The sequence below is a fragment of the Homo sapiens genome, chromosome 2 (genome assembly GCF_000001405.40).
Source record: "Homo sapiens chromosome 2, GRCh38.p14 Primary Assembly".
NCBI classification, from domain to species: domain Eukaryota; kingdom Metazoa; phylum Chordata; class Mammalia; order Primates; family Hominidae; genus Homo; species Homo sapiens.
The window spans coordinates 29,208,913-29,236,824 of record NC_000002.12 but is presented as its reverse complement, the minus strand read 5'-3'; the positions used below and the strand labels follow the sequence as shown (position 1 = coordinate 29,236,824).

Here is a 27,912-nt window from a genome sequence, read left to right as displayed (position 1 = left end):
AGATTGCCTAGGATGCAATACGGATAGAGAAGAATGTGAAGACCGAGCTTAAGGGACCCTCAACATTTAGAGGTCAGGAAAAGAAGAGGAACCAGCAAAGCGGGACAAAGAAGAGGAACCAGGGAGGTAGGAGAGGATGCAAGAGGATGGGGAGTCCTGGAAGTCATGTGAGGAAAGGGCGGCAGCTCCTCCAAATGCTGCTACTGGTCCAGCAAGAGCCTTGACCGCTCCCCACCCCCACCTGATCTAAAGGAGACATCAGAAGCAGGGGTGCGGGGGATGAGCATGGGTCAGAAAAGATCTTTCTCTTGTTCACCAATATATCCCAAGTTCCTGTAACAGGGATGGCACAAAGTAGGTACTCAATAAATATTGGTTAAAGAAATTGGCTCTAACTACAGGAAAGCCCATCCTCAAGCCCCACTGCTGTCTCCTCCCCATCCCAGCAATCTCTGGATCTGTTCATGAGGGGAGGGCATCACCTAGGGGTGGAGGTCCCACTGCTGCCCGCAAGCCAAGAGGGGAGATGGAGCAGAGGCCGACGGGGTGGACCTTCTCAGCACCACTGGTTCAGACTGGGCAGCCCCTCCATCTCCAGATGAGGAGGCAAGTCCAGGGAGGCGGGGTGCCTCACCAAGTATAGCCCAGCAAATCTCCAACAGAGCTGTCAAGAACCCAGACTGAGCAGGGTGTGATGGCTCATGCCCGTAATCCCAGCACTTTGAGAAGGCTGAGTCAGGAGAATCGCTTAGTTAGTGACTAGCCTGGGCAACACAGCAAGACCCTGTATCTAAAAAAAAAAAAAAATACAAAAATTAGTCAAGCATGGTATTTCGTACCTGTACTCCCAGCTACTCAGGCGGCTGAGGCAAGAGAACTACTTAAAGCCAGGAGTCAGAGACCAGTCTGGGCAACATAGCAAGACCCTGTTTCTTAAAAAAAAAAAAAAAAAAAAAAAAAAAAAAAAAGTCGAGCCTGGTAGCTTGTGCCTGTAGTCCCAGCTACTCTGGAGACTAAGGCAGGATGATTACTTGAGCCCAGGAGTTCGTGGCTACAGTGAGCTATGATCATGCCACTGCACTCCAGCCTGAGTGACAGAGTGAGACCCTGTCTCAAAAGAAAGAACCCAGATTGGACCCTGAATCCTGTGCTCTGCCCAGCTGACAGCTCACATCCCTCAGACCCATCCCCAGGGCCAACCCTCAGGGCACATTCCCTGCAACTCACGCCTGTGCCAGGTGGCAGTGAGCAGGGTCTCCTCCCAGGAGTCTCCCCCCAGGCCAGGACATAGCTGCACATACATATGGGAAATGCCAGCTCTCTACAATAGCAATTCAGAGCCTTCCACCCACACTAGATCCACTCTAAGAAATATCAAATTATTTCCATCGTTAAATCCAAAATTCCATGAAACAAACTGCATCTCGGCTATTTATCTGGAAATTTCTGTAGTACTCATTGCCGGCACCCCTGAGCGCTTTAGCGTAAGAAGTGGCTCAAGAAGAATGGCTGCATCCACTAGCTGGTTACGAAGCAGCATCGATGGAAATGTGATGTTTTACTGGCTTTTTTTCTATTAAGTGAAAGAAAAGTCACTTTCCTCCAAGGTCAGGCTGATGTTTGAAGAATTCGTCTGAGCTGTGGTGGCCGACAAGCAGGCGTGGCTGTTTTTGAAGCACCATCCTACTTCTTCAGGGATTCCAGGATTCTGTTACAGAAATCTCCAGCACAATCCTGGGGACTCTCTAATACCTGAGCCCCAACCAGGAGCATATGTGGGCCCAGAAGTGAATCTAAATTAGAACAGCAGCTGGCTGGGCACGGTGGCTCACGCCTGTAATCCCAGCACTTTGGGAGGCCAAGGCAGGCGGATCACCTGAGGTCAGGCGTTCAAGACCAGCCTGGCCAACATGGCAAAACCCCTCCTCTACTAAAAATACAAAAATTAGCGGGGCATGGTGGTGTGCACCTGTAGTCCCAGCTGCTTGGGAGGCAGAAGTTGCAGTGGGCCAAGGTCGTGCCATTGCACGGAGTAAGATGGCAAAAACAAACAGATAAGAACAGCAGCCATTTACTCAGTTCCCACCATGTGTGAGGCGCTCCACTAGATGCCTGAGGGTAGTACTTGTACTACGCTCAGTAAATGCCACAACGACCTGTGTTGTCTTCATTCGCAGCCACACTGGAAGATCAGAGATCGAGGGCCCCTGTCACAGTTTCCCAGGGTGGGTGGAGAATCCAGACTACCTGATTGCAGGGCTCACTCTACAAGGCAAGCAGAGGGGTGTGCCAGGGATTCCGGAGGGAAAAAATGGAACATTAGCTAGGAGGAATGAGATGTCCAAAAGGGAGAACTGATCTTCCCAGAGAAGAACTGGGAATAAAACTTGAGTCTGGCCTCTTGCTGGTTTTTTTCTCTCCTCCTGATGCTTCAGAACTGTGACTTCTCAGAAAACCTCGATGGCTCTCAGTGAGAGAACGGCTCTCATAGAGAATGAAGTCCACTCCTTGCAGTGCCTTCAAGGCCTCTAGCCATGATCACACTGTTCCGTTTAATTCTCTCTACCCACCTAATTTACGCTCCCTCCAGCCCCATCTCACCACATAGGACCTTTCCCATTCTTTCTTGGATCTCTTCATCCCACAGGATCGAAACAGGTCCTGGACAATCTCTCTGTCCTGATAGACTTCTGGGCCAAAGAGACCCTTGTGCTTTTCCCCCACGCACCCCACTCACCCACTTCCCTCTGGGCTCATGCCACTCTCTGCTCTTGGAATGACATAACTTTGCCCCACTCTCTGTGAAAAAAACAAAAACAAACAAAAAAAAACTCCCTATCCTTCAAGGCTCAACTAAAAGCCGCCTCCTACAAGCAGTCCTCACAGCAATAAAACCTTGCTCTCTCTCTCCCAGTTTCTCCTAGCATTTTCTGTCTAAGCTATCCTTGTGGTCCTTCCCTAACACTGCCCAGAGTGACAGTTATTGGTATATTTTTCTGCCTCCTCAACTCAACTGTAAGTTTTTTGAGAGAGAGTCAGATCCTGTTTTTAAGCATAGAAGTTCTGTCTGCTGCAAAGTGGAGAACTCTGGTTTGGCCACAAACCTAACGTGCTTTTTGTTTCTACAGACAAACCAGTTAATCCAGAAAGTCTGCATTGGAGAGAACAATGTGATAGAAGAAGAAATCCGTGTGAACAGAAGCGTGCATGAGTGGGCAGGAGGCGGAGGAGGAGGGGGTGGAGCCACCTACGTATTTAAGGTATGGTGTGTGCTGCCAGATTTCCACCAGGTTCCTGTGCATCTGCAATGTCAGAGCCTCATGACAGCCCTGGGATAGAAACACCTCAGATGCTCTTATCCCCGTGTAAAGATGAGCAGGGCCAGGTACAGTGGCTCATTCCTGTAATCCTAGTATTTTGGGAGGCCAAGGCAGGAGGATCACTTGAGGTCAGGAATTCACGATCAGCTTGGGCAACATACCAAAACGTTGTCTCTACCAAAAAAAATTTAAAAATTAGCCAGTTTTGGTGGCTTGCACCTGTAGTCCTAGCTACTTGGGAGGCTGAGGCAGGAGGATCATTTGAACCCAGGAGTTCAAGGCTACAATGAGCTGTCATCACGCCATTGAACTTCAGCCTGAGCAATAGAGCAAGACCCTGTCTCTAAAACCAACAAAAGAATTAAAAAATAAAGATGAGCAGACTGAGATCCAGAGAGATATAGAGTCTGTCTGTCCAGGAAAGGGTAGAACTCTTCTCTTACTGATACATCAGCCCAATTTCACCATGCACAGCCTTTGCCATCCTACTTTCAGAGAGTCCCACTGTGCCCTCCTGGACCAGCTCTCTGCCCTAAGGTGGACTTTGCTGACATCATCACAGCCAGGCCAGAAACTGAAGACAGAGGCCACCTGCTAGGTCCTCCCACAGGACTGTGATGCTGAGGGCTTAACCTTGAATCTTTGGGGGTCAGAGCCAGAGACCCCTAAGAATGAGGGAGAGAGAGCATAGAGAGACCTGCTTCTAATCACCAGCATCCAGACCTCTGAGGCCAGTCTAAGGAGCTTCAGGAAAGGGGCTAGAGGAAGTAGAGGAAGCAGCCTCTAAGATCAACCCCCACCTCCTGGTATCTATATTTTGCTCTTGGTATATAGGTCTTGCTTCTCTGGTTGAACCCTGACTGATAGAGAAGCTGGCGGAGCCGATGGGCTATTGTAACAAGGGTTCAGAGCCCGCAAACCACCTCAGACCACTGAGAGGTCACCAGGTCACCCCAAAACAGCAAACCCTCAGTCAGGTTGAATTTACCAGAGCTTAGGGGCTCCAGGGGGAAGCACAGCTCGGTTTCTCAATGTCTGAATGTCTCCCCTGGTCAGATGAAGGATGGAGTGCCGGTGCCCCTGATCATTGCAGCCGGAGGTGGTGGCAGGGCCTACGGGGCCAAGACAGACACGTTCCACCCAGAGAGACTGGAGAATAACTCCTCGGTTCTAGGGCTAAACGGCAATTCCGGAGCCGCAGGTAAAGCGCTGCAAGCGTGCCCTCTCCCAGAACCTCTCCCAGGCCTTCAGCTGGGCCCCGATGCCATCGCATGCCTGAGGGCATCTTAGTCACTGGCACCTGGGATGCTAGGAGCTCTGAATATTGGTACCGATATCCAGGGAGGGAGGGCAGGCAGCACCCTGGGAGCCCTGCAGGCCATCTTGCTGACCTGGAGCTTGGACTTGTAGAAGGTCACTGAGAAAGTGAGGCAGGGAGCAGCCGTCAATCAGCCAGCTGGCCCTCCCTGCAATTGTTAGAGCCTCCCCCTGAGATTCCTTCTTCCTCCAGGGGCAGATGGGCCCCCCAGTTAGGATATGAGCAGGTGAAAAAAATCTGGGCAATGTCAGGCCTCCTAGACCCCCATGGTACAGACCTCCAGGCCCTGGGCTGCCAGACCCAAGCGTATCCCCGCTGGAAAATCTCTTACTTGACTCTCCACGGCTGAGCTCTCCTCCCTCATTAATGGGAGCCAGAAGCACAGAAATGTGAGACAGGCAGGGAAGAGAGTGTCAATTCCCTGATTCCTCTAAAGTCAGCCACCCCTAAAGACAGAAAATGCAATTCCTTTTTGTATTTTCTTTTCCACACAATCAGACTGTGGGAGGATCTTAGAAGGCATTTAAGATTTGGGATTAATTAAAACAAATGTGCAAACTGTCTCTCAATTGAGAGACGGCTAGAATAGAAGAGTAGAAACAGTCATGGGTCCACCCTGAGGATCTCCAGTGACGTTTGCAGCACCGAGGCCCAGCACCCGAGAAACCCTGAAGCACCTCTGCCTCTGTTGCACATGTGCTGTCAAAACAACCTGCAGGTTTCCAGGCAGATACCATTCCTGTTTTACAGGAGAGCCAATGGGCTCACCAAGGCATGATGACTTTTTTTTTCTCAACAGGGCCGAGCTGTTTAGTGATAGAGACAATTTTTGTTTTTTGTTTTTTGTTTTTGAGACGGAGTCTCGCTCTGTCACCAGGCTGGAGTGCAGTGGCACGGTCTCGGCTCATGCCACCTCTGACTTGCAGGTTCAAGCGATTCTCCTGCCTCAGCCTCCCGAGTAGCTGGGATTACAGGCACACGCCACCACGCCCAGCTAATTTTTGTATTTTTAGTAGAGACGTGGTTTCTCCATGTTGGTCAGGCTGGTCTCAATCTCCTGACCTCAGGTGACCCACCTGCCTCGGCCTCCCAAAGTGCTGGGATTACAGGCGTGAGCCACCACGCCTGGCCAGACTCAATTCGTATTTTTAAAACACCGTTGTTCTGATTTTGATATGGGTTATTTTCCTTTCCACACATTTGCTCGAAGGCTGCAGAACGGGTATGGGGGTCAGAAACCTCCTCAGCTGGGGGCTGAGCAGGATGAAAGCACAGCGCATGGTCTCCGTCCATCTCGTTCTGATTTATTTATTACGCGCTTACTCACAGCCGTGCACAAACACCAGCGCCAACTTCTGGCCCCTAACGCGCCTAAGGGGCCTTCTCTCTGCCACATGACAACAGCCTTGACAGGCCCACACCCTCCCCTGAGAGCAGAAGGGAGGACAGCGAAACAAACCCAAGCTCAACACCCACCCCTGGAGGTTTCATGGCTAACAAAGTCCCCCCAGCTTGCCTGATGGCCTCGCCTCAGCTCTGCTTGTCCCCATTCTAGATTCAAGCTTGTTCCTGACCTCAGCTTCATTTTCAAAACCTGGCTTCCTCTTTCTAGCAAGACAGTCATCCCACCTACAGGTCCCTCTGGGTCCCAAAGAATCTGGGCCACAAGTGCTTCCAGAAACCCTGCCAGGCCGGTTCACCCGTAGGGTTCCGGCAGACACACACACTGCTGTTTCTGCCTTCCACCATCAATTTCCAGGTCCCCAGCATGCATCATCTGCTGCAGCAGAAAGGGTTTTAGGGTTTTTAGAATACCTCCACCCTTTCCTATCCATCAGTTCTGCGTTCGTGGGATTCAACCAACCACAGATCAAAAATACTCAAAAAAAAAAAAAAAGATGATTGTGTCTTTACTGAACATGTACAGACTTATTCCCTAAATAATACAATAACTATTACATAGGATTTACCCTGTATTGGGTATTATATGTAATCTAGAGATGATTTTTTTATAGGAGAATGTGCAAATACTATGCCACTTTATATAAAGGGACATTTATTTTGGTGTGATGGAGGGATCCTGGAACCTCCACAGATACTGAGGGACAACTGTAGATGTCTATTCAAATGTCCTATGGAACAGTAGGCATAGGGGATATCCTGGAATCTCAAAGGTTAGCAGAAGAGATTTCTTGTGGTCAACCTGTGGCTACATTCAACCTCGGCTCTGTAGATAGCTTCCTTTGTAAGAGCCCAAAGCAGCCCCAGGCATTGGGAAGCACAGCCCTGAGGCTGCCTTTGTTGCCAGGGTATCGTCCACCCACCAGGGCTTCTGCTCCTGACCTTGGAGCAGTTCCTGAGCGCCTGGCCCTGGAGAACCTCTAAGCAGGCTGAGCCCAGGTGTGAGGCTGTCTGCACGCGTGTGTTCTGCCTCTCGAGCCCCTGACGCTCCCCACCCCTGGCAGTTTGTGGAGCATTTCGTACACTCACTGTCTCCTTTGAGCGGAACATCAACCCCATCAGGTGGGTCTTATTATCCCCAAGCCACAGGTGAGGAAACACAGGCTCAGAATGGGGCGTTCTTCCCCAGGGTTTCACAGACAGCAACGGGCTCTCTGGTCAGCCTAGTCCAGGATTCCTGCAAGGAACTTTAGTGCAAGGTTTTGACATGTGGCTGCTCAAAGACTGGTGAGTCCCTTTTCTCGTTAGGACGGGAGGCAGTTAATGAAACGAAGGTCCAGTGCTACGGGGCTTGGCTGACATGAAGAGAAGATAGAGGAACGAGTTTAGTCGCCATGCTGCCTGTCTGCCCACGTCCCCCCATCCTTAACCAAGCACAGCCCCTGCTTTTGAGCCAGAGAGTACTGGCAGGAAGCAGGGGTACAAGGCACGCTCTCATCTGGGTGTACTCAGCTGTGGCCAAACAGGTCTCCTAGGGCAAGCAGCCTCCTGGTTTTCCTAGTGTGGATCTGAAGCCCCCAGGCCCCACTGAAGATGGGCCCCGGGAGCTGGAGCTGGTGCGGGCGCCCTCCAAGGCGTCCTGCATCCTGCTTCTCTGGCCAGCATGGCTAATTGAACCTTGCCAGCATCCTCACGCAGGTTCCCTATCTCTTCCCGCAGGTGGTGGAGGTGGCTGGAATGATAACACTTCCTTGCTCTGGGCCGGAAAATCTTTGCAGGAGGGTGCCACCGGAGGACATTCCTGCCCCCAGGCCATGAAGAAGTGGGGGTGGGAGACAAGAGGGGGTTTCGGAGGGGGTGGAGGGGGGTGCTCCTCAGGTGGAGGAGGCGGAGGATATATAGGTAAAGATGATTCGTGTTCAAGGTGTCACTCCCTCCCTGCTTAGTCCTAGGCTCCTCACCTCCCTGCCCTGCCCTCCCCTGCCCTCCCCTGGCCTGCCCAAGTGTGGACTGTGATGTGACTGCACGCCTCCCTCTCGACCTGCCTGGACCAGCCAGAGGCAGGGTGCTGGCTTTCGAGCCAGCACCCTGCCTCCAGGCTTCCTCAGCGACAGCATCAAGATCCCATGTGATTCTTGATGTCCCCCAAAGTCGATGATAAAGAGGCTTTGGCTTGCCAGACTAGTCTCTGAGTCACCCATAAGGACTCCCCCAGCCTCCCTTGGATGGCCTGGCCAAGCCAGCTCCTGAAGGGGCTGGTTTGTGGTTTCATGGACTCCTTACTCCTGCTCCCTACCTCAGCCCACCAGCTTCCTGAAAGGCGCCGCTGTGCCTGCTGATGGGAGCTATTCCCGAGGGCAACTGCAGGCAGGCTTAGCCCAGCCCTTCAGCAAGCAGCTGCCCATTGACCCCAGCTGCCTCGTCTGGGCTTCAGAGCACAGTCAGCAGAGCCTTCTGAAGCTGAGAGGCTGGGAGACGATGGCTCCCCGCTCCCCACAGATTAGGACGAATGCATGCATGCTCTGTGGTGTTCGTGTCTGTGTTTTGCATTGACGCTGTGTGTAAGATGCTTGTGTTAACCACATGCTCTTCTTTTCCAAGCTGGGTGGGTGGGAGGAGCCCGAGGGGGGAGCCCAAAGATAGCCCAGCCCCAGATGAAAGGAGGGACGGGAGCCTCAGGGCACAGGGGCTCATTTCCCGCAATCCGCACAGCCCGCCACACCCCAACCCTGACCCAATGGGGCTGAAGAGCAACTCTTCAGTGCTACCATCCTGACCAGTCCTGGGAGAGGCACCATGGGCATATCCCAGCCTGGAAAGACTAGAACTTTTTGGACTCTTGCTCACATTAACCACTTCTTAGTGGGCCACCGGCAGAGTGGGAGCTGGCCTGGACCTGAGGGGAAATTAGCCACACACCCAGCATCTACTGAGCCAAATCCCACATGCAGCCTCTGTGCCCTGAGCCTCCCTTCCCTCCCCGCATCCCTGCCCCTGAGGTCCCCAGTGACCCCCTAACTTTGGCCAGAGCTGCATGCCCCACTGACGTGTGTGTGTGTTAAGATTTTGGCACCCACCCCCCATGTTAAACTCTGCTCTGGTTTGCTACTCAGGCGGCAATGCAGCCTCAAACAATGACCCCGAAATGGATGGGGAAGATGGGGTTTCCTTCATCAGTCCACTGGGCATCCTGTACACCCCAGCTTTAAAAGGTAGCTTCTCTGCCAGGCAGCAGAACAAACTTGCTTAGGTCAGTCCTCCCACCAAGCTAAAACCTCAGAGTCTCTGACCTGTATCCAGGATACAGAGGCACAATTATGGGTCCCTGGCAGGCAAGCTTCCTATGGCGCAGGTCACCACATTTTCCAGAAGTCAGGATGTGTGCTTTAATATGAATGCAGAGGCAGAATCCTAGGAAATGTAACAGTAATAGCCCAATACCTGCACCAGCCAACCTAAAGATCATGTGCGTGGGCTTCTCTCCACCACTGACTCAAAAGCAAACATCCATAGACACCCATGCCCGCTGCCTCCGCTGCACTCTCTATATGCACAGGAAGACTCTTCTACACAGTTGTGCTTCCAGTGGCTATGGGACCTAGGAACAGGGACCACCAGAGCACCCACAGTGACCACCTGGAGACATAGTACTGAGGCTGGGAGTGGGGAGGCAGGCTCGGCCCAAGACTGACCCTCCCTCCTTGTCACTAGTGATGGAAGGCCACGGGGAAGTGAATATTAAGCATTATCTAAACTGCAGTCACTGTGAGGTAGACGAATGTCACATGGACCCTGAAAGCCACAAGGTCATCTGCTTCTGTGACCACGGGACGGTGCTGGCTGAGGATGGCGTCTCCTGCATTGGTAAGGGGGCAGGGCCAGGGGAGGCAGAGGGGCCCATAGCCTGAGATTTGGCCCATGACCACAAATGGTTTCTGGGTTCCAGAACACCCTGGATTCGGTTTTGTAAACTTTCTGTCCCTCCCCTACCTGCCACAGCTCGAGTGCTCTGACCACTGTGTGAAAGGTGGGTCATGGCTCCTGAAGGAGTCTTAAAAATCCTCTACTATAGAATAAGCCCTCTACCACCCCCACCAAGGGGCCATCCTGCCTCCACTTAAACATGCCCAGTGACAGGGATCTTACTGCTCCTAAGGTTCTCTGTTCCCTTGGGCAGTTTCAGAGCTGGGGACCTGTTGCCTTAACCTTCCTCTCCTAGGTTTCCTTACAGCAGCAGCTGTGCATGTGCAGTGTTTGAAGACAGTGCTCCCATTCTCCTCCTCTTTTTTTTTTTTTTTTTTTTTTTTGAGGCGGAGTTTCACTGTTGTTGCCCAGGCTGGAATGCAATGGTGTGGTCTCGGCTCACTGCAACCTCCGCTTCCCAGGTTCAAACAATTCTTCTGCCTCAGCCTCCTGAGTAGCTGGGACTACAGGCGCCCACCACCATGCCAGGCTAATTTTCATATTTTCAGTAGAGACAGGGTTTCACCTTTTGGCCAGGCTGGTCTCAAACTCCTGACCTCAGGTGATTCACCCGCCTCGGCCTCCCAAAGTGCTGGGATTACAGGTGTGAGCCACCGCACCTGGCCCCATCCTCCTCCTTTAACTCTTCTTCAGACTAAATAACCCATTTGTTTGCAGCAGTTCATACAAGATGCAGTTTTGTGTCTCTTCCCCCGCCCCACCAGTGTCCCTCTTCTGCATGTGTTCCACTATCGATGTCCCTTTTGAAATGTAGTGTCCAGTACCAAGCACGATACCTCCGTGTGGTCTGGCCAGCAGAGGGCACAGGACCCCTCCCCACTGTGAGCCCAGTGCCTCAGGGCCACAAGGAAGTAACTTAGCCTCAGAGGGTGTTACTTACAGCGCACCCTGTTGTTTGGTCACCTGCGGCCCCCACATCTCTTCCAGATCCACTTTCGTTTCACCTTCCATCCTCACCCCATAGTTGTGCAGCTCATGTTTCAAACCAACATCCCGCCACTGATATTCATCCCTGTTAAATTTCCCTTCACCCAAAAGCTACTGCTAAAAGCCTGTCAAATCGGGATGAGTCTGGTCCTGCTCATGGTCCCCTGAAAAGAAAAGTGTGACAAGGTCTCCAGCGATGGGAAGGAGCAAGTAGTTTTTGTCTCAGTGGGGGAGGTTATTTCTGACTTGGGACCAACTCAAAGGAGACCTGGTGTGGTTGTCAATACCCCAGTGGGACCTGTCTTCCAGTGTCACCCACCCCGGAGCCACACCTGCCACTCTCGCTGATCCTCTCTGTGGTGACCTCTGCCCTCGTGGCCGCCCTGGTCCTGGCTTTCTCCGGCATCATGATTGGTGAGTGCACAGAGCCCCAGGGACTCCCAAGGGGGCAGGAAGGCAGGACTGAATAGTGTCTCAGGCTGTGCCACAGGTGCCAAGGTGTCACTTCGTTATGCTAGTCCCTGGAATTGGGTGGGGTGGTGATTAGGGCAGCCCAGGCCAAGCCAAAACGGAAGCTCCCAACCTTCCCCCCACCAGAGCAGCTGCAGTTCCCTGAGGAGCCCCTGATTCTGCACCTCAGCCCCGTGTGTATCCTCCTGGCTGATCAGGGGGTGGGGAGCTCCTTCAGTGTCCATCACGATGGTGAAAGCTCGCCCCCACCCCTAGACGTCACTTCTAGCTCCCACATGCTTCCACCGGCGCAGCTCCTGTTTGGCTCCCACCCTATGTAATGCACTAGCCCACTCTTCCCCAAACCAGCCCTCCACCACCCTCCAGGCAGAGAGATAGGAAAATCGGTTTCTGAGTATATTTCTGTTCAGCCTGTGAGCCAAGGTGAGCTGACCTGCAGGTCACAGAGAACTCAGTGTGGTCCCAACCAGCTCTTACTGCTGGCAGAGACATGCCCAGGACAGATGGGCAGAGGCTTGAAAAGGGCAGAGGGAAAGGCTCTTGAGAGCCCTCGCAGGCCAGGCCCCTGCAGGCAAAGGGATCTGCCGGTAGAAGGGAGATGGCAGCACACACTGTGTCCCCATATGGTGCCATCCCTCAAAGGGACAGGATAATAGGAGCTAACACTTGTTGCATGGTTACTACGTGCTCGGCAATTTACACATTTCAATTCATTCGATCCTCAGGTAACCCTAATCTGATCACGGTCGGTCCATTGCATAGAGGAGGGAACTGAGCACATAGCGGGTGACTCATTTGCCCTGGCCCATGTGTTGGGGGGCTGGGCTTTACACACAGAATCTACCCACTGAATCACAATTTTGTTCTGGCTTCCATGGAGTTTGCCTTCCAGAACATCCTCACATGTAGGAGTGATAATGGTCACTCACATTGGTAGAGCTCTTTAGGATTTTTCAAAACCATTTTATGTTGGTGAATTCATTTCATTGACAACCCTAGAGGGTGGGGAGTGGCAGTGGTTAGGGAAACAGGGCAGGAGTTACCATCCCTGCCTACAGAGAGGGAAACTGCAGTCCAAAGAGGTCCTGTGACCTGGTCCTCATGGCTCAGCTTGTAAGTAACAAGAGGCGGAATTAGAGCACAGATCCCCAGACACCAATTCAGAGATCTTTTCATGATGTGGCTCTTCTCCAACTCTGTGGCTTGGCAGTTCTCCAACTATAGGAAACACAACTGACCAAGATCCCAGCTGCACCCTCAAATCCACTGCTGTGATTGCACTGAAGCTGCCCTACCCAATGGCTGAGCACAGCAGAAATACTAAGGCAGGCCAATTCCTGGGAGTCATGGGACTCCTCTGATGACTGACTTTGGCTCCAGAACCCCTTAGGGCCTTGCTGAAACTTCCTTAGGCTCCATGGCACCCAGGGTGCTTCCACCCAACCTTCCCTCCCTCCCTCGTTCACGTGGGGTTATACTTGCAACACAGTCTGCTGGTTCACCCAGCCTTCCCTGGCTCCCTCCCCATTTCCTCTCATGGGCATTTCTTCTAATAAAATCTGCAGACCATATTGGGTCTAATCCCATCTCCAGTCTGCTTCTTGGAGGAACCAGACTAACATGACTCTGCCCTATATAATACAAATAATTATTTTCCATATATCTGATTTTTAGCTTTGCATTTACTTTAAATCATGCTTCAATTAAAGACACACCTTCTTTAATCATTTTATTAGTATTTCTAAGTATGATGGAAAGGTTCAGAGCTCAGGGGAGGATATGGAGATCCAGGGAGGCTTCCTGTAGGAAGTGGCCTGTGTAGTGCTTCAAGGGCCAGGCTGCCAGGCCATGTTGCAGCTGACCACCCACCTGCAGTGTACCGCCGGAAGCACCAGGAGCTGCAAGCCATGCAGATGGAGCTGCAGAGCCCTGAGTACAAGCTGAGCAAGCTCCGCACCTCGACCATCATGACCGACTACAACCCCAACTACTGCTTTGCTGGCAAGACCTCCTCCATCAGTGACCTGAAGGAGGTGCCGCGGAAAAACATCACCCTCATTCGGTGAGCGCCCTGCTGCCGTCCTGGGAGGAGAGGGGTGCAGTGTAGGGGCTGAATGTTATCACAGCACCGCAGACTCCTCTAGCCACAAAAGGCCGGCAGAGCCCTCCCTATGGGCACCCCTAGCCCTCCTAGGAGGACAAGCCTTGACATTCAGGGCCATGTATGTTGGCTTACATTAACTCCCATAGTTTATGGAGTTTATACAATGAGAGGAGAACCAGGGCTCTCCTCAAAATTCATTCAGATGTGCTCTCTCCAAGTCTACCTGGCTCCCCTTCCCTCCAGGGGAGCAGGGGAGCAAAGGGCCCCTCCTCTGAGCATCTAGAGCAACTGCGCCTTCCTCTGTCACTCACTGGAAATACTCCCCAGCCAGTACCCACAGTGATCTGTCTCTCCCCAAGGAGCATGAACCTCCCCCGGGGAAAAGCCATGGCTTATGCACCCCTGTGTCCCTGGCAAATATCAGAGACTCAATAACTACTGATTGAATGAATAAACATTTGACCATTGTCATGAGTCCCTGGTTGGAATCCTTCTTACCAGTTTTCAGGTGAAGAACTGGAAGCCCGAGATTGCATAGCAAAGCCATGTTGAGGGTATTACTCCTGAGTGTGTATGTTACCCCCGCCTCTCGTGTTTGTCCACTAAATGTGACGCCCAGGCTCAGGACCCCCAGCTGCCTCATTATTGTGGCCTGTTTGACTCTGTCTCCTCTTGTCTTCTCCTTTGCACAGGGGTCTGGGCCATGGCGCCTTTGGGGAGGTGTATGAAGGCCAGGTGTCCGGAATGCCCAACGACCCAAGCCCCCTGCAAGTGGCTGTGAAGGTAAGAAGTGGCTCACTCTTGAGCCTGCCCTTGGCTTGCGGACTCTGTAGGCTGCAGTTCTCAGCTCACAGCCTCCTCCTCCTCCCCACCCTCCCCTTCTCTGCCCAGACGCTGCCTGAAGTGTGCTCTGAACAGGACGAACTGGATTTCCTCATGGAAGCCCTGATCATCAGGTAAAGCCACAGAGAGACACCCTCACCCCAACTCCCCTCTGCCCCCAAAGAACCTGGAGAGGTTTCTAACAGATCGATATCTCCAAGGGAAATCGTGTTGTCCCTAGCATGTCCCCTTTTCTCCAGTAGGAGACTCCCAAACATTCTAGACACTTCTTACCAGAATGGAACAACCCTTGATGGTTGTTTCAGAAACAAAGTCTGTGTGGCCTAATAATCCCACCGATGTCACTGTCTGCAACCAGTATCCCTGCTGTTATCCACTGGTTCTTCTTCCCTCACTTTTTCTTAAGAAATGGAGCATGCTAGACTTTGACAGTACAAGATATAATCTCCCTCCAAGACCCTTCACCAATCCCAGTAATTGTGCTTCTAATATGATGGGAGGCCACCCCATCCTAGGCTCCCATCAGCAGGGCTGAGTCTCAGCTGGCTGCACCTTTTGACTTGAGGCTCCAAGATCTGGATTTAAGCTGAGAGTCTCAGTGCCTATGGCTCCTGAGGGCGTCCGCTGTGACAGCAGATCCCCTCAAGGAGGGGGCAGATATTTGACCTCAAGATCAGGTGGGGGCTCATGGCCCCCTGTCACACTGGGAAGACTCTGAACGTCCTGACAGGTGGGGGCAGACTGGGATGTCCCCTTGGTGGAAGTGGCAGGGGTAACAAGGCCAGGCAGTGTGAGTGATATGGCTGTGAGGTCTGGAACCACAGGAGGACACACAAAATAACATTTATTTTCTGATGATACATATAATTCCTGATTATGAATAAAACTTGGCAAGTATGAGATTATATTGAAGAAGACCCATATCACTCAAATCTCACTACTTGGTGGTAACTAACCATTATTATGTTGGTGTCTAATCACCCAGTCTTTCAACACTTGGGGGGCTGTGTGTACATGTGTGTATGCACACACATGCATGTTGGCCCATGTGGAATTCCTAGGCCCTACTGCCCTGTGTGTCCTAAAGGGATCATGTTAACAAGAAAACCCAAGTCTTGGTCCCTCCCATGAGGAATCCACGGGAAACTGATAGACTCGTGAGGCCATCCCCTTTTGCTGGCTCTGTTTCACACGCTGTCACTTGGCAAGTCTCACCCAGTCTCTCTTGGAAGCAGTTGTTTTGCTTCACCTTCTGCCTGAGGCCTTCCTGGGAGAAATCGACCATGAATTCTAGCACCCAGTCCACGCACCAGTATCTGAGAAAGACACTCTCCTGCCCCCTGAGACACTTCCTCACCCAAGTGCCTGAGCAACATCCTCACAGCTCCAGCCACTCTCCTGCAAATGGAACTCCTGTGGAGCCTGCTGTGGTTCTTCCCACCTGCTCACCAGCAAGATTCTGGGTTTAGGCTCAGCCCGGGACCCCTGCTGCCCATGTTTACAGAATGCCTTTATACATTGTAGCTGCTGAAAATGTAACTTTGTATCCTGTTCCTCCCAGTTTAAGATTTGCCCAGACTCAGCTCAGTTAATTTTGGTTACATCCCTCTCTGCTCTGCAGCAAATTCAACCACCAGAACATTGTTCGCTGCATTGGGGTGAGCCTGCAATCCCTGCCCCGGTTCATCCTGCTGGAGCTCATGGCGGGGGGAGACCTCAAGTCCTTCCTCCGAGAGACCCGCCCTCGCCCGGTGAGTGAGAACCAGTCTTTGCTGCAGTTGTTGTGCCAAGGACAGGAGCAAGGATGGAAGGAGCAAGAGTGGGCAGCCTGGGTAGCAAGTTCCTCGATGGAACCCAGGGTGTCAACTTTAGGCTTGGACAGGGGGGTGACTGACTGGCTGGAAGAGAATGGACAGAAGATAGAGGTAGATGATGGCTGAGCCCCAGCCCCAAGGAGCTTGTGCAAGGCTCCTGCAATGCATTTGTATTAGTCCATTCTTGCATTTATATAAGAACTACCTGACTCTGAGTAATTTACAAAGAAAAGAGATTTAAGTGGCTCATAGTTCTGCAGGCTGTACAGGAAGCATGGTTGGGGAGGCCTCAGGAAACTTACAATCATTGCAGAAGGTGAAGGGGAAGGAGGCACGTCTTACATGGCAGGAGCAGAATGAAGGGGGAAGCGCTGTACACTTTTAAACAACCAGGTCTCATGAGAACTCACTCACTATCATGAGAATAGCAAGGGGGAAATCCACCCATGGTCCAATCACCTCCCACCAGGCCCCTCCTCCAACACTAGGGATTACAATTCAACGTAAGATTTGGGCAGGGACACAAATCCAAACCATATCCACATTCTATAGCCTGGATCCATTCTCATGGCCTGCTGACTCTGGAAAACCAAACTAGAGACAAACACAGAGGAGAACTTTCATGACAGCCATGTAACTACTCAAGCAACTGACCTGGGCAGGTCACTCTGCAGCTACTCATTCAGAGCCCACAGTCCTCACGTCTCAAGTAGGGATAATAATACCTGGACATTCCAACCGTATATTTAGGAAGGTGCTACACACATCTTATGGTTAACAGAGCTTGGGAAGTGAAGATACCCAGGGTGGACCCAGGAATCCCAAGCTCCAGCTCCAACTTGGCCATTAGACACCCGTGTAGTTTAGGGCAGTCTTAAACCTTTAACCTGGGTATCCTCACAGGTGAGATCTGAGGATTGGACTAGAACATCTCAAAGGTGGTTCTAAATTATTAAACATAGCACCCTGGGCAGACCCAGAGCCCAGCTGCCCATGCTTGGGTCTGCAGGTCTTCAGCAGGCCCCGGATACCAGGAACTGGAGCTGAGCAGGCCCCAAGGTTAGGATCCAGGCTTCCTCAACGAACCACTGTACTATGGGGATCACAAGGAAGACTTGCACAGTAAAAGCAGCGGCCACCCTCCCGCTCCCAGGAAAGGAGGGAAGACTGACAGCCAGTGGTTCCAGAAAGCCCAACCTGACCACACTGCTCAAAGGGACTCAAAGTGGTGATGGAAGCCCTGCAAGGTCATAGCTATTCTGATCTCCACCTTCAGTCAGGATCCATGTAAAATACCTTCACCTTAGCCACTGGGTGACGCATCTCAGTATCTAAGAAGAATACTGTCTTACCCCTTGAGAAGAGGAATTTGTGTGCACCTGAGCATACCTGGCAGGAGGACTGGGCAGGGAGCAGGGAGATAAAGACTACACCTGTCTGTCTCATAAGAGCCCTCATCAGCTGGCATCCTCCTCAGACCTTTCACATTTCTCAACACCACCCTATGAACAGACAATGCAGGTCTCTCCCCAATTCTATGGATGAGAAAACGGTGGCCCAGAGAGATTACGGGACTTGCCATGGCCACACAGGAAGTGGAAGAGCTGGGACTAGAACTCAGGCCTTGTGACTCTTGATTCAGTGCCCTCTCCAACTTACTGCTTATCCAGTGGTCCCCTCTGGGAAGCTGTAAACTATCAAGATGAGGTTGTGTCCTTAGAGCCAACACTGCCAGGCATCCAGGCATCTCTGCCATGGTACAGGCATCAGATTCACTGGCTTTCCCACCACCACCTAGGAAGGCAGAGCCTTTGGCCCTCATGCCCTGAGATTCTCAGCAGCACTGCTGTCAGTGGGGGACACGTGGCATCACACTTTGGGAAGAGGCACAGCCCTGGTTCTCCCACTGGACCTTCCTGAGGCTTAAGGAGAGAAAGTTGTATGCATGCAAAGGAGAGGGACTTTGCAAAGGGAGTCTGGGAGCCCAGCACTTGGCAAGTTCAAGGACTTCGGGGGCAGGAGATGGCAGGAGTGAGGAGTGGTGTGTCTCTATCTCTCCCTCTCTCCCCTCCCCCTTTCTCTCTCCCTCTCTCAAAGACAAAGGCATCTCTCTCCTTTGATGATGAAAGATGATTCCAATATTATTACAAAGAACATAGTCCAGCAAGGAAAGGCAGATCATTCTCTCTCTCTCACTACCCCCACCCCAGAGTGCCACCCTCGGAGAGTCAGAACAGGAGCCTGTCCCCAAGTTCTACCCTCTAACAGCAGGCACTACCTGAGGGACCCCCAGAACGGGGAGGGGGCCTGTCCTTGGAAGAGCCACTTCTCAGGGCCAGAGTCCCACCCTCACCCAATCTGCTCTTTCAACCCTTGGCCCCGCTTTTCCTCTGTGTGGCTCTCGTTGCCAACCAGGCACACCCAGGCAGCACCCCAGTCATGGTCCTCCCCGCCTCCCATACACCCACCAGGCCCAGGTGAGCTGTCCTTCCTGGGATCCTTGGCCGATTTCAAATGTCCAATTGTGGCCCTCTAGAGCCACCAATGCAGATGTGTTTGTGGCAGCAGCTTCCCTGGGGCTTAGCTGGGCTTCCTGCATGGATTCTCGGGGCCACAAAATCCAACTTTGTAAGATGAGGATTCAGTGGACTGTGAGAAAGGAATGTGATTTCCAGCAGACAGACAGGACTAATATCAGTAAATCCTACACAGGATAAAGGAGGGTGAATCGGCCAAGGGACATGAGGGATGGAGAAACATGTGCCATGAAGAGAAAGTAGGCGGAGGTGTGCCTCCAGATTCTGAAACTTGGACTTCAGAGGCCTGAATTCCACCTGATTCGCTTGTTGGAATCACCCTGATACTCCTGATACTCCCAGGGGTTCCCTGATGACCTACTGTGTGCAGGAACCAGGCTTGAGGTGCAGAATCAGAGGTCTCTGTCCTCACTTCCTGCCAGCTCTGTAGCTCAGTGGCTCCACAGACCTTAGATCAGGATCAAAGACCCTTTGAGATGGGATAAAAGGCTCTGGCCTCAGACAACATCTGTGCAAACATGAAATGACAGAACGGATGTGCAGACGCGGTAGACAGAGTGGATGCCCAGGTCAGCCGTGCCTGTTGTGGAAACGAAATGCATGGGTACAGATGAAAAAATCACTTGGTCCCAGGGTGCACTGGCTGGCAATGCTCTGCGAGTCTAGATTCAGCATCGGGTTTGCCAATGTCCACAGCTCCTCCCACCCCACCCCACCCATGCACACAGCCCCTCCCAGACACACACCACACACGCACAACACATGCTACACACAAAAAACACACACCACATGCATATATACACACATCACACACACCACAGACATGCACCACACAAAAAACACACCACACACGTACATCACACACTACAGACATAAAACACATCTATGCAACATGCAACACACACAAAACACCACACATGTACACAACACACAGACATATACACAACACATACACTACACACACACACACACACACCACACACGCCCCCCCCCCACAGACACACCACATAGACATATACCACTTACATACACTACACATACACATACAACACACACCACACACATGCCCCCAGACACATACCACATACACTCACGCACACACCACACACACCTCACATGCCACACACACACCACGCACACACCACACACACATCACATGCCACACACACACCCCCCACACACCATAAAGACATATACCACATATACTCACAACCAATCACACATGCCACGCACACACCACACACATACAACACACACCATATATACTGCACATATACACACCACACACATATATGCCACATACACCCCCACACATACACACCACACACACCTCACACATCCTACACAAACCACACACGTACACAAAACACAAACACATATACACACCACAGACATCCACCACACACACCATACACCCCACATATACACAACACATACACAAAACACACACACCATACGCACATATACACAATACACACGCACACCACAGACACGTACACACCAGACACCCCCCATAACCCACGCTTGCTGACTGTCTGCCCTGTGCACACTGATTAGTGGAGCAGTTAATCTGCTCTGAGCAGCCAAGGACAGGGGGCCATAACAGCCTAGCCCGTGAGTTAATGCCCAGAGAGATTTAGTCCCCACAGCGCTCCAGGCTCCTGGGGCTTCCGAGACATCTATGGCCCTCGCATCCTGAGTGATGGATGCTAAGACACAAAGAGACTGGTAGGAAGAAAATCTTCCTCAAGGCCCTAGCACAGCTAGGGCCAGGGCCTCCTCTGGTAGGGACAGAGAGCATGCTCCTGAAGAGCAAAAAGATATTTCGCTCTTCCATCCTGCAAACCCACCATGGGGAGCACCTGCAGCAAGGCCCACGACCATGGCCATGAGAAGAACAGCTGGGTCCGAGGAAGTGCTGCACTCCAGCGGCAGATGGGGATAAAATCCTGATTCCAACTCTTTGCCGCAGGAGGGATGATGCAGGCATGAGTGCTGCTTGATGGGAATGATCAGAGTCTCTGCTGCCCGCCTGTGCAGAGGTACCCCCTCTGCCCCTAACGAGGCCTCTGGATAAGCCAAACACAAGGAGCCATTTTCTGAGTCCCCCTGGTCTCCCATGTGGAAACCCCTCAATACCTCGGGTCCCCTGATGAGGCACTGCCCGAGGCTGCTGGCGTGGGTGCTCCTGACAACCCAGGGAGACCGACAGTCCCACGCCACTGTCACAGATGAAACTGGCTCTGAGAGGCTGAGCAGCCAGCCCCAGACTACATGGCCTGGAAGAGGCCAGCAGGGTGGAGCCCGGGTCAGCTCGATGGGCCACTGAAGTGTGGTGTTTGCCGTTTGTGGGTGCTGTATTCTGCATTTGGTGTGCATTGGGCACTGTAGTCACATACATACGCTCCAACCCCCTTCAGGCACTCTCTCTTCCATTTTAACTCCTTGGATCCCAGGGAAGAGGGAGGATGCCTCTCCCAACCCAGATCCTTAAAGCCCATCTCCGGGCAGCTTTGGCTCCACGCTTATTAGCTGTGTGACCTGGGGTGAGTCAGGTAGCCTCTCTGAGTCCTCAGCCTTCTCATCGTTAATATGGAGATCACCTTCTCTTCCCTACCTACCACACAGCAGATCATGTATGTGCTCTGGGGCATGTAAGGCACCGGTAGGGGAACTATCCACTCTCAGTTGTCTCCCCAAGAACTGAAGCACGGCCTAGAGAAGCAAGACTCTGTCTACCTCCTCCAGACCCAGGCCATTGCTCCAGGGAGTCCTGGGGAGGCCCTGATCTATGGCAGAGAAAAACCTCCAGCAGGCTAAGCCTGCACCCAGACCCCACCTGGTTCCACCGCTGCCGCCTGGCTGGGTGACTTCCCTGTGGGCACCTCAGGACTAAAGAGCCCAGTCCTCAGCCCACCCTTCAAAAGAAGAGCAAAATAGGAGAGCTACAAGCATGAATTTCCTGCAGGGAGTTTGCCCAGGTGCTCAAGAGTCACCAGCTTAAACAAACACCTTTCTTGGGGCGGCCCTAAAGGGGATTGATTTGACCCCCTACCTGCGTGTGCTTTCTTGGGGAGGTATGTGAATCATACTCCTCCAGGTAAATCCTGGCCTGCAGCTATAATCAACCAATCAGCCACGCAACACTCACTGAACCCCCAGTGTGTGTCCAGCATTGTGCTGGGTGCTGTGGGAGGGTGAGATCCCTGTCTCTGGAACTTCATCACCGTGACTTGGGGAAATGGTGAAATCAACATGGAACAACACAGTGACTCGGACACTGCATGAAGCTGAGCTGCCGCACACGTCAGGGATTTAGGAATTAAAAGAGAGGCCAAGATGGGATGTCGCCTTCTGGAAAGGCTTCATTGTGCTCAGCAAGGCTGTCCAGGAAGCCAAGATGAGATGTCCCCAGAGGGGTAGGGAGGTGACATCTCCTTTTGAATGAAAGAGACCTCATGCGGAAAAGCTTGAGATAGCTCATAATTGCCCAGCATTTCCCAAAAGCTTTTCTTTTTCAATCAATTTTAGCGCTGGATCTGCTTGAAGAAAATTAGTTTTAAGAAATATTTTAAGACATTTAAATCGAGGATTTTTAAAACTCCCCTATTCCCCTGTGGTTTCCTCACAAACTTGTTTATAAATTGGGGGTATTCAAATGCTTATGAAGATTGGGGTGAGAGAATGTGCACAATAAATTAAAAGGGAAAGAACACCTGCTCCAACCTAGCTTCCCGGAGTCTGGGTGTTCCGAGCCTTCGCTGCACGCTGGCATCATATTACCTGGGAAGACTTCAAATGTACAAATACTATGCCCACCCAGAGAGGTCTGGGTTGGGGCCCAGGCATCCAAATTCTTTCAAATGCCTCCAGGTGATTTCTAATGTGCAGCCAGGGCCGAGGCCCCTGGTGTAGCTGCATGTTCACGGTCTGCCTCCTTGTGAGCACTGGAAGCCAGCATTTCAGATTTCCCTCCTCTCACTGACAAGCTCCTCGTCAGTGGCCCGCTTCTGTCTCCCCACAGAGCCAGCCCTCCTCCCTGGCCATGCTGGACCTTCTGCACGTGGCTCGGGACATTGCCTGTGGCTGTCAGTATTTGGAGGAAAACCACTTCATCCACCGGTGAGTCAAAGTGACTGTGCTCTTCCTGTCATCCTGTCGCTGATCTGTGTGCTTCCCCGCAGATCTCAAGGGCTCACATTTCCCCCTTCAGAGCAGAATACTAGGTCTCCCTCCAGAGCCATTTGGATGTAGGATGATTCAGCTTTGTTTTATTGTTTTTTTGTGAGAGACAGGGTCTCACTTTGTTGCCCAGGCTGGTCTCGAATTTCTGGGCTCCAGTAATCCTCCCACCTTGGCCTCCTGAAATGCTAGGATTTCAGGCATGAGCGATGGCTCCTGGCCCCTTCAGCTTTGTCTTTGAGATGGTAACTTATTCTATCAGGGATTCACTTGCCCCTTACATAAAACAAGTGTCATAAAATATCCTCGCCAGGGCTGGAGACCTATAAGTTATTCTTAACCTCCTGTGAGGACCCCTGCCTGTATCTTGAATGTTCAAGTCCTATATCACTTTAAGGCTTCCCCCTGCCATAGAAAACTGGGCTCCTTATGGGGAAGTTAAGGAATTGCATTTTTGACAATGGGTGGCTTATAGGCAAGGATGCTGTTTTAGTCATCTTTGTATACTTGGCATAGACACAATGTTTGTTGGATACATTAATTTTTTCTAAAATACTCTGAAATGAAGCATAAAGATGATTTTCATTGCTTCTATACTTAGTTTCTTCTATTACAATCATTCTTGTGTTTAAAAGCTGTATAGACTGGGACATCATGCTGTGAACATCATATATCATGTATGTCTTTCCTTGTGAAAGCTGATGACTTTCTCAGCTGACAGCTTGAAATCAGAAAAGTAAAACAGATCATCAGGCTCTTTGCAAAGCTCTTCCTTAATGATTTGCCTCTAATGTAGTAAATAATAACCTGGTGAACTCACAATAATTTATTAACACATGTCTTCTAAGAGTTTAAGGCATGTTCATAATAATTAAAATATGTAAGTACAAAAGAGAAAATGAGAGATGTTGTAAGAGCTTAGAAATAGAAAAGTATCATGCCTGTAATCCCAGCACTTTGGGAGGCTGAGGCGGGAGAATCACATGAGGTTGGGAGTTCGAGACCAGCCTGACCAACATGGAGCAACCCCATGTCTACTAAAAATACAAAATTAGCCAGGCATGGTGGGGGACGCCTATAATCCCAGCTACTCGGGAGGTGAGGCAGGAGAATCACTTGAACCCAGGAGGTGGAGGTTGCAGTGAGCTGAGATCGTGCCATTGCACTCCAGCCTGGGCAACAAGAGCAAAACTGCATCTCAAAGAAAAAAAAAGAAAAAACAAAGAAATAGAAAATCATGCAAATATATAACAAGTTATGCTTTCTCCCTAATAAAAATGGGGAAATGAGAGGTCAGGAAGTACACTTGCCTAAGTTCCAAAGTCACTCCTAACATGAGGCAGTCAACTCTCAGAAGAGCTTATCCTCTTCCTGTCACTTCATCCTTTTAGCCTTCAGTTCTCCCTCCAGCTTCTAACCCTTTCCAACTTGCAGGTCATACTGCTTCATAGAAATAATGGAAGCCAAAAAGGAGCTGGGCCTAGCTTTACCATCTGCTCCTTCTAAGAGTCTATCAGTTCTGTTCTTTTTTTTAAGGTAGTTTTTCAGCCCTTTCCCCGCTCCCCAGTCCTGTTCTTGTCCTTTGCATTGTACCCAGAACTTTCCATAAATCTCAGCTCTGGGCTTTGCCATTCCATTGCTCAGTCAAGACCAAGCTGTGCTCCTTTTGAAGTCGTCCTTGGTTAGAGTCATCTTTCCATCTTTGTCCATGTGCTTTAAGTCTAGACTCCTATGAGAGCAACCCGCGTCACCTGGTGGCCAGATGTCTTCCTTCACTTAGCACTGGGATCTTTTCTACTTGTCTTTTGTTTTTTATCTCTGCCCACGTTGGTCACCATAGCATACAGATTCTCTGGCTGAGGGATCATTTCCATTTGTCCTCTGACCTTTTGACATCTCCTTTCCTACAGCCACAAGACATTTTGATGATACCCAATGCTCTGTTGCTATGATGTTAACAGGATTACATTCCCTCAAGACTCCTGTCACTTCCATATCTGGAAATAGTTACTGAAGGTTAGAATTAGATCCCAGAGTAATCATTTATTGCTCTTTTCTCCTTTTTAAGAAATTAAATTGTCAAACACCAAATCAAGAAGGTATCAGATGATCTGTTTTAAGCAAAAGAAAACTTCTGGCAGAAACTGTCCTTCTGGGGCAATTTGGTCATCTGTATGGAAAAAACGTCTTTTACATGTTCTAACTAGCTAAGAGGTCTGTGGTACATACCCACAACAGAGTTGCCTCGAATTCTCTCTCTCCCTCCACCCTTTATCTGCTCTTAAGATTCATGGACTTCCACACATGTATACTTTTACGCTTTTGGAATTCAGAGTGGAACTTCCTCACCAGATCCACATGCTTCCATTTTTTTAAAAAAATTGGATCTTTTTCCTTTGGACATGGTTTATTGCCATTTCATAAATGACGTGTCACTCTCCCAACTCTTGATGTATTCTATGTACTGCATTTACCTTCTTGCCATTAAATTCACGATCACTTTTTAAAACAACCATTCCATACACATCAGTGTAAAGACTTTTCTGGAGCCATAAATATTGTTCCTGGTCTACTTTGCTATATTTCTCTTGAGAATTAACGGCTATACAGCCAACTATTTTTCTTTCTTTTTGATGTCATATGTGTTATGCTTTTATGGTTTTATGGGGGCATTTTATACACCACCTCAAAATTCAACTTAAACCTTCTGGATCAGGTCAGCAGCATTAACAACATGAATCTCCTACCTGAACCCGTTATTCTTGTACCCTCAGTCATGATCCCCAATCAAGATCCTTTTTTTTAAATAGTATCCTAGTAGCCAGTTGATTCTCTAAGTCCTTTCTCAACCTAGGATCAGAACCATCATGAAACCAGTTGAACATGAAAACAGCAGCTGTGCTCCCTAAGTACATCTTGTTTTTTCCTGCACAGGACCTTAATATTATTAGAGACCCATCCCAGACTTCTTCTGGCTGTATCCTTCATTCCTACATGCATGACCAGAATGGTAAGCAGAGAGTAGAAGCTGATGAGTCTTGGACAGCGGTTGACCATGCCTCAGAGGCAGGCTACAGGAAAGCAGGTCATCTATAGTCAACAGCAGAGATGACAACTTTATCACCTGGAAGAAGCGATTCTTCAGCCATGTAGCTTAGCAAGGGCTTTAGATAAAATCATGGACAAAAGAACCATAATGGCTTATTTTAAAAATTAATAATAATAACTTTGGGAGGCCGAGGCAGGTGGATCACCTGAGGTCAGGAGTTCAAGACCAGCCTGGCCAACTTGGTGAAACCCTGTCTCTACTAAAAATACAAAAAATTAGCCAGGTGTGGTGCTGCATGCCTGTAACCCCAGCTACTTGGGAGGCTGAAATAGGAGAATTGCTTGAACCCGGGAGGCAGAGGTTGCAGTGAGCCAAGATCGCACCACTGCACTCCAGCCTGGGTAACAGAGCAAGACTCTGTCTCAAAACAAAACAAAAAACTAGAAATATTTGTGAATATCTTAATCTACTTGAATTTGATTTCAGGGAAGTCATGCTGTTCTAAAACACTTTTTCAAACAACTGGCAGAAACCAGCCCGTGGTTTGTACCAAATCTGCCTAAGGCCAGATAGCATTCCTTATGGCCCTATGTTATCTACTTTTAGCTTACTTTTTAAAAAATAAAATGAGGACAGTAATAGCACCTTGTGTCTTATAAGGTTGTTGTGAGAGTTAGATATGAAGCACTTACAACAACACTTAGCACCTAGTAAAAGGCTAATAAATCCTAGTTCCTAGTATGATGCATTTCATTATGGTTGCCCCATTAAACATTTTTAATCATTTCCCCTAATCCTTTTCCATTTCTCTCTTAGTTGTGAGGCCTAGAATTGTTAAGGCTGTTTCTCTCACACTGAAGTATACTATACTAAAGGAAATATAGGGAAGGGAAGGAACTATTTAAACTTCAGCTTGGAGATAAAATCCTAGTGATGGCCGTTGTACACTCATCTTCCTAGGGATAAAATTAGGAAATGCATTTCCTTTCTTCCCAGAGACATTGCTGCCAGAAACTGCCTCTTGACCTGTCCAGGCCCTGGAAGAGTGGCCAAGATTGGAGACTTCGGGATGGCCCGAGACATCTACAGGTGAGTAAAGACTGCCTCACCCCTCCGGGCCTGTCTCTTCCACCTCAGCCCCTCAAGAATGGGGTGTGGCTGCTTGTCCCTTACATCATCTCCTGGTACCCTGTCAACTTTCTACCTAAAATTTCACTAAGTTCCTTTTCAGGCTATGGGAAACCTTAATTAGTGACCATGCCCGAAGGCCTAAATCTGGGATCACACTTCCTGCAGTAATTGACACCAAGCTTTTTTTTTTTTTTTTTTTTTGAGACGGAGTTTCGCTCTTGTTGCCCAGGCTGGAGTGCCATGGCACGAACTCGGCTCACCACAACCTCTGCCTCCCGGGTTCAAGCGATTTTCCTGCCTCAGCTTCTCGAGTAGCTGGGATTACAGGCATGCACCACCATGCCTGGCTAATTTTTTGTATTTTTAGTAGAGACGAGGTTTCTCCATGTTGGTCAGGCTGGCCTCAAACTCCCAACCTCAGGTGATCTGCCCGCCTCAGCTTCCCAAAGTGCTGGGATTACAGGTGTGAGCCTCCATGCCCAGCCAACACCAAGTTCTTAATTAGGTTGTCCATCGGTTCCAACTGTAATCTGGCCATGCTCTGAGACATGGGATAACTTGGATACTTGATGTGGAAAGACCTTCAAAGTGAGCTTTATTGAACTTCCTCAACTCCTCAGTACTCAGGAATTCTAAGTGGCTATGGCTTCTAACACCGCAGGCATCTGCATCCCAGGTCGGGCAGGATGCAGGGCCTGGCTCATTGCTCAGCTTTAGCCACCCCAGGAGATGTGGAGTATAGCGCAGAACCCATCAGTACTTAGCGCAGCCTTATTTTTTTTTTCCCTGTCACATTTTCAAGACTACATTTTAAAAATTATTTTTTTTTTC

The 27,912-nt window shown here is 50.3% G+C and overlaps 1 protein-coding gene across 3 annotated transcripts in view; it reads left to right on the top strand.

Moving 5' to 3' along the window:
* The window catches only part of ALK (ALK receptor tyrosine kinase), a 728,813-nt gene that overhangs the window by 684,762 nt on the left and 16,139 nt on the right, over positions 1–27,912 (top strand). The window contains exons 14-25 of one of the 3 annotated variants that reach the window (NM_004304.5): positions 3,129–3,260; positions 4,377–4,521; positions 7,759–7,941; positions 9,153–9,251; positions 9,751–9,903; positions 11,260–11,364; positions 13,297–13,483; positions 14,218–14,308; positions 14,417–14,481; positions 15,990–16,119; positions 22,744–22,841; positions 26,947–27,039. In NM_004304.5, the coding sequence (NP_004295.2) occupies positions 3,129–3,260; positions 4,377–4,521; positions 7,759–7,941; positions 9,153–9,251; positions 9,751–9,903; positions 11,260–11,364; positions 13,297–13,483; positions 14,218–14,308; positions 14,417–14,481; positions 15,990–16,119; positions 22,744–22,841; positions 26,947–27,039 (1,481 nt within the window). Of the gene's footprint in view, positions 1–3,128; positions 3,261–4,376; positions 4,522–7,758; positions 7,942–9,152; positions 9,252–9,750; positions 9,904–11,259; positions 11,365–13,001; positions 13,484–14,217; positions 14,309–14,416; positions 14,482–15,989; positions 16,120–22,743; positions 22,842–26,946; positions 27,040–27,912 lie in introns of those variants that run through there. The other 2 variants (NM_001353765.2, XR_001738688.3) reach the window with 2 other exon arrangements.